Source organism: Homo sapiens, chromosome 1 (genome assembly GCF_000001405.40).
Source record: "Homo sapiens chromosome 1, GRCh38.p14 Primary Assembly".
In the NCBI taxonomy this organism is placed as follows: Eukaryota; Metazoa; Chordata; class Mammalia; order Primates; family Hominidae; genus Homo; species Homo sapiens.
Window position 1 is genome coordinate 39,593,483 of NC_000001.11, and position 6,771 is coordinate 39,600,253.

The 6,771-nt window shown below is 45.6% G+C and overlaps 2 annotated features.

Annotated features, from left to right (window-relative positions):
- Nucleotides 4,267-4,356: a silencer, noted in NCBI's record as "silent region_704". NCBI's record gives its function as "represses an Ori minimal core promoter by ATAC-STARR-seq in GM12878 lymphoblastoid cells {active_cell/tissue: GM12878}" and the evidence as "EXISTENCE:reporter gene assay evidence [ECO:0000049][PMID:35858748]".
- Nucleotides 5,107-5,236: a silencer, noted in NCBI's record as "silent region_705". NCBI's record gives its function as "represses an Ori minimal core promoter by ATAC-STARR-seq in GM12878 lymphoblastoid cells {active_cell/tissue: GM12878}" and the evidence as "EXISTENCE:reporter gene assay evidence [ECO:0000049][PMID:35858748]".

The following is a 6,771-nucleotide window of genomic DNA, read 5'->3' on the forward strand; positions in this document are numbered from 1 at the left end:
AATGCAAATCCAGGCTGGGCAAAGTGACTCACACCTGTAATCCAGACACTTTAGGAGGCCAAGGCAGGAGGATCATTTGCAGCCAGGAGTTTGAGACCAGCCTGGGCAACACAGCAAGACCCCTGCCTCCACACACACACACACACACACACACACACAAAATTATCTGAGCATGATGGTGCCTGCCTATAGTCCCAGTGAGAGGACTGCATGAGCCCAGGAATTAGAAGCCGTAGTGAGCTATGAGCACACCACTGCACTCCAGTCTGGGCAACACAGTGAGACCTTGTCTCTAAATAAGTATGTGTGCGTGTGTGTGCGTGTGTATGTATGTTTATATACATATGTATGTATGCATAAATAAACAAATCTAAATCCAGTCCTGCTCAATTGCTTCAGTAACTCTCCATTGCCTTCAGAGTAAACTTTGTTTTTTTTTTTCCTTGAGATGGAGTTTCATTCTTTCACCCAGGCTGGAGTGAAGTGGCGTGATCTTGGCTCACTGCAACCTCTGCCCCCGCCCCCCGAGTTCAAGTGATTCTCCTGCCTCAGGCTCCTGAGTAGCTGGGATTACAGGCGCCCACCACCACGCCAGGGTAATTTTTGTATTTTTATTAGAGATGAGGTTTCGCCATGTTAGTCAGGCTGGTCTTGAACTCCTGACCTCAGGTGATCCACCCGTCTTGGCCTCCCAAAGTGCTAGGATCGCAGGCATGAGCCATCATGCCAGGCCCAGAGTAAACTTTAAATGTCTTAACAAAGGCTTCCAAAACTGTCTTTTCCTTGTCTCTGCTTTCCTCTCCCTCCTTCTCCAATCCATGACTGTGCTTACCACCTTCCAGCATTGCTCCAGTCTTTTTGAAATCTTCAGCTCAGAAATCGCCTGCTCTAGAAAGCCTTCCTTCCCTTCTTTGGGTGGACGTCCTGGAATTGCTTCCTTTCCCCACTGCATGGGGGGTGCCAGGTTGTGTCACTCTTGGTCACCATTGCACCCTGGTATCTAGCTCATGGTGGGCACATTGGCGCATCCCCCTTCCCCAACTCCTTCATCATATACCTTGTGAACTGGAGGAGTACAGGGCAGTTTTGCAGCAGTCTTAAAAGCGGAGAGATTTTGTTGTTTTGCAGGAGATGGAGGAGCAATGGTTTAGAAGCAGCAATGGGGAAGGGCCCTTCCCAGAGGAGGCTGGGAGAGCTGACAGAAGCCCTTAGGGAAGCAATGTCAGAGGGAGTCAAGTCTTCCTGAAGGTAGAAAGCTTGGGAGTGAGGAAGGCTATGAGGGATAGGTCATGAGGGAAAAAAAGCAGTATGGCCCAGTGGTTAAGGGTGTGGACTTTGGGCCATGTAGACTTAGGGGTCATCAATACGTAGGTGATAGAGTGATAGACATCATATAACTTCTGAGCTGGGAGGATCACATGAACCCAGGAATTCACTAGCCTGGACAACATAGTAAGACCCTATCTCTAAAAAAAAAAAAAAAAAAAAAAATTCGCCAGGTGTGGTGGCACACACCTGCAGTCCTACCTACTCGGGAGGCTGAGGTGGGAGGATCATTTGAGCCCAGGAGTTTGAGGCTGCAGTGAACTGTGTTCACACCACTGCACCCCAGTCTGGGTGACAGAGCCAGGCTATATCAAAAGAAAGAAAGAAAGAGAAAGAGAGAGAGAGAAAGAAAGAAATCATATAACTCAGTTCCTGAAACATGCACAGAGTGGCCTGTCTGTGGATGCTGTTGTTGCTGCACTGGAGACCACAGGGCCTGACTGGGTGTGACCCAAAGTCCCGACTGTGGTCAGCCTGACTGGCCCAGGGATCTGGGCTCTCACAGGGGCACTGGACACACCGTCCTGAATCCTGGAGCTGACACTGAGACAGGAGGATCACAGGAGGATCACAGGAGAACCCACTGAACTGGCCTTGAGTCAGCACAAGGACACAAAAGAAAGAAGATTTTGGTTTTGGAGGGCAGGGCTTGTGTGGGCACTGGTGGGAAAGCCCAGCTCCCTTCTCCTCCTGAACACCCAAATCTGATCCCCCAGTGGTTCCTCCCGGATGCCTGCAACAGCCTCCTTCTCCGTCTCCCCTGTAATCCACTCTACACATGGTAGACAGAGTCCTTTTTCAGAAATGTAAGTGAGACCATGTCGCCAGCCTCTCACCCAGCTGAAATCCTGCTAGAGGCTTCCCAAGGCTCTTAAGAAAGGAGCTGGCAAAAGTCTTTTCCAAACTGAGGTGATAAGGTGGACAATTTTAGGTGGATGTGGAAGGACATTTTAAAATTTCACCTGTGAATTAGAAAAATAGAAGTGTTATGTCATTCTTTAATTTCATGAATATTCTTGCTTAGGAGGATATAAAGGGAGCCAATTTAAAGAAAAATATTAAAGAAATGATAGTACAAGAGGAGCCACCATCGATGGTACTAGAACAAGGCTCAGGAAATTAGACCTCTCTTCAGTTTCATCGGGGGCTGTCTGTCCCTCCCTCCCTGGCTCTAGCTACACTGGTCTTGCAGGTCCTTGAAGATGTCACATGCTCATCTGCCAGGAACGTTCTGGAATGCTCTTCCCAATCTCACCCTTGCACTATATTCCCATCTTTTGCTAAAATAATGGCCCTCAGATCGTGGCTCCAGTGTCCCTCCCTGGGAGTCTCGTGATCAGGGGACCCTGCCGTCGTTATCTCATGGTCCTTCTACTTTTTCTTCATAGCACTTACTGCCATTTGTGATGATCTCTTGTGTGTCTGTGATTACATCTATGCCCCCTCTAGAATGTAAGCTTCTCAAAGCTGGACTGTGTCTTGCTCACCCTCTATGCTCAGGGCCCAGCCGGGCCAGGCACGTGCTAAGCACTCATCTGAATGCAGCATGTGCGAACAGATGCATGCACCCAGTTACTCACCCTGGTGGCTCCTGCCTCAGTCCCTGGCATGTTGACACCACTCAGATTGTGGCTGCCCCTGTGGAGTTAGGAATTGCCTCGGCATCAGCCTTCGAACAAGGGGCTCCACGCTGTCATTTTGCACCTGGCCTCACAAATGATGTAGCTGATCCTGAGCAGAAGATTGAGGAAGGTGGAAAGTAAGGACACTGGGGTGGATGACCCCTTTCAGAGCACGCAGAGAAGGCAGGAGACATGGGGTCAGGACAGTCTCTCCCAGCTTGGACCTTGTGCTGGCTTTTCTTTGAGGAGTCATGGAGATTAGATCTAGGACCTCTTCCTGGGCAGGGGAAGGGTCCCAGAAGAGCCATGCGGGTGGGGTCAGAGTTTCTGCCTTGGGTCTCAAAGGGCCTCAAGCCTGCGCCCCCTAGCCATGGCTTGGCCTCTTCCTCCTGGCCTCTCCCCACACTTCAATGTTTGCTTATCCTGGACCCCACAACCCCCTTATGCTATAGGAAGGCATAGGTCCAGAGTATGCATTGTTTTAGTTTAAACATTTAAAATATAGAAAGCTCAGAGGTGAACTTAACTAACGCCCATGTGCTTACCACTCAGAATAAGCAACTGTTAACATTTTTGCTTCAGATTTTTTTTTATATAAAACAAATAGAGCATCATAGACAGAGCTGAAGTTCCCTTTGTTCCTCTGCCCAGTCCAATTCCTCCCCTCCTTTCAATCCCAGGAGCAGTTGTTACTACTAATCTGATGTGTTTCCTTCCAATCTATTTCGATGAGCAAAACAGAATGTGTGTTAATGGAAGCATTATTCCTCACAGCCAAAAAAAAAAAAAAATGGAAACAATCCAAACGTCCATCAACTGATAAATGGATAAACAAAATGTGGCCTATCCATATAATGAAATATTATTAAGCAATAAAAATAAATCAAGTGCCAATCCATGCTAACATGGATCGGCCCTTTTTTTTTTTTTTTTTTTTTTTTGAGACAGGCTCTGGGTCTGTCACCCAGGCTGCAGTGCAGTGGTGCGATCTCTGCTCACTACCACCTCTACCTCCTGGGCTCAAGCCATCCTCCCACCTTAGCCTCGCAAGTAGCTGGGACTACAGGCACGCACCACCACACCTGGCTAATTTTTGTATTTTTTGTAGAGATGAGGTTTTGCCATGTCACCCAGGCAGGTCTCGAACTCCTGGGCTCAAGCAATCTGCCTGCTTAGGCCTCCCAAAGTGCTGGGATTACAGGCGTGAGCCACCACACCCTGTGTGATCAACCTTGAACACATTTTAAGTGACAGAAGCTAGATGCAAAAGGCTACGTATTATATGACTACATTTATACAGAATAGGCAAATCCACAGAGACAGAAGCAGATTAGTGGTTGCCAACGGGGAAGAGCAGAATACAAGTGGCTGATTAACGGGTGTGGGACTCCTTTTTGGGGTGATAAAAATGTTCTAGAATTAGGCAGTGGTGGTGGTTGCAAAACATCTGCAACCACCACTAAGATGGTTTTCCTTTCTTTTTCAAGGTCGTATAATATTCTCCTATGTGAATAAACCACATTTTCTTTATTGTTGCATCATCAATGACCATTTTTGGGTTGCTTCTAAACAACAGAAAAAACACTGAATTATATACTTTAAAATGGTTAAAATGATGACTTCTATGTACTTGAAAAAACACATAACATTGTTTACCCTCTGACCCATTTTAAGTGCAGGTTCAGTAGCCTTAAGTGTATTTAAAGGCTTGTGAAACAGACATCTAGGACTTTTTCTGGCTGCAAAACTGAAACTGTGTATCTACTAAACATGAATTCTCCCTCCCCCACCTCCACACTCAGCAATCACCTTTCCACTTTCTGCTTCTATAATTTTGACTGCTTTAGATTCTTCACATGAGTGTAATCATACAGTATTTGTCCTTTTGTGACTGGCTTATTTCTTTCTTTCTTTTTTTTTTTTTTGAGACAGAGTTTTGCTCTTGTTGCCCAGGCTGGAGTGCAATGGCATGATCTCGGCTCACTGCAAACTCCGTCTCCTGGGTTCAAGCAATTCCTGGGTTCAAGCGATTCTCCTGTCTCAGTCTCCCGAGTAGCTAGGATTACAGGCACCTGCCACTACGTCCAGCTAATTTTTTGTATTTTTAGTAGAGACAGGGTTCCACTATGTTGGCCAGGCTGGTCTCGAACTCCTGACCTCAGGTGATCCACCCACCTCGGCCTCCCAAAGTGCTGGGATTACAGGCGTGAGCCACCGTGCCCCGCCAGATCAACCTTGAAGACATCTTAAGTGACAGAAGCCAGATGCAAAAGGCTACCTATTACATGACTACATTTACACAGAATAGGCAAATCCAGAGACAGAAAGCAGATTAGTGGTTGCCAAGGGGGAAGAGGAGAACACAAGTGGCTGATTAATGGGTGCTGGGCTCCTTTTTGGGTGATAAAAATGTTCCAGAATTAGGCAGTGGTGGTGGTTGCAAAACATCTGCATATACTAAAAACCACTGAGTTGTGTACTTTAAAATGGTTTAAATGATGACTTCTATGTACTTAAAAAAAACACGTAACATTGTTTACCCTCTGACCCATTTTAAGGGCAGGTTCAGTAGCCTTAAGTGTATTTAAAGGCTTGTGAAACAGACATCTAGGACTTTTTCTCGCTGCAAAACTGAAACTGTGTATCTACTAAACATGAATTCTCCCTCCCCCACCTCCACCCTCAGCAACCACCTTTCCACTTTCTGCTTCTGTAATTTTGACTGCTTTAGATTCTTCACATGAGTGTAATCATACAGTGTTTGTCCTTTTGTGACTGGCTTATTTCACTTAGCATAATGTTCTTGAGGTTCATCCATGTTGCAGCATGTGACTGGATTTCCTTTCTTTTTCAAGGTCGTATAATATTCCCCTATGTGAATAAACCACATTTTCTTTATTGTTGCATCATCAATGGCCATTTTTGGGTTGCTTCTACCTCTTGGCTATTGTGAATAATGTTGTAATGAATGTGGGTGTGCAACTATCTCTTTGAGATCCTGCTTTATTTCGGACAAAAACTAAGAAATGATATTTGCTGGATCATATGGTCATTCTATTTTTAATTTTTTGAGGAACCTCCATACCGTTTTCCATAGTGGCTGCACCATTTCCCATTCCCACCAACCCAATGTTCAGAGAATTGGAACCCAGGGCATAAGGGTTCCAATTGCTCTGCATCTTCATTAAGAGTTCTTATTTCCTGTTCTTGTGATAGTGGCCATTTTAATGGGTGTGAAGTGATTTTATTTATTTGGATAATTTTTACACCTGATCTTAGCCCAAAGGCCAAGAAGTTATATCATTTTAATAATTTTACAAACTGTAATTTAAAAATATTTGTCTGTAGACATATTACTGCAACTCGTTTTGTCACATTGTATTTCTACATACAGAACTGGTTCATTTATTTTACTTTATTTTGTGTTTTTTTGAGACGGAGTCTCTGTCACCCAGGCTGGAGTGCAGTGGCGTGATCTCAGCTCACTGCAACCTCTGTCTCTCTGGTTCAAGCGATTCTCCTGCCTCAGCCTCCCAAGTAGCTGAGATTACAGGTGCCCGCCACCACGCCTGGCTAATTTTTGTATTTTTAGTAGAGACGGGGTTTGGCCACATTGGCGAGGCTGCTCTTGAACCTCTGACCTCAGGTGATCCGCACGTCTCTGTCTCCCAACGTGCTGGGATTACAGGCGTGAGCCACCGTGCTCAGCCGGTTGTGTGGTTTTAATTGGCATTGTTTTTCCTTTATTTCTAGTTTTTTTTTTCTTTTCTTTTCCCTTCCTTCTTCCTTTCTTCCTTCTTTCCCTTCCCTCCCTTTTGGTCCT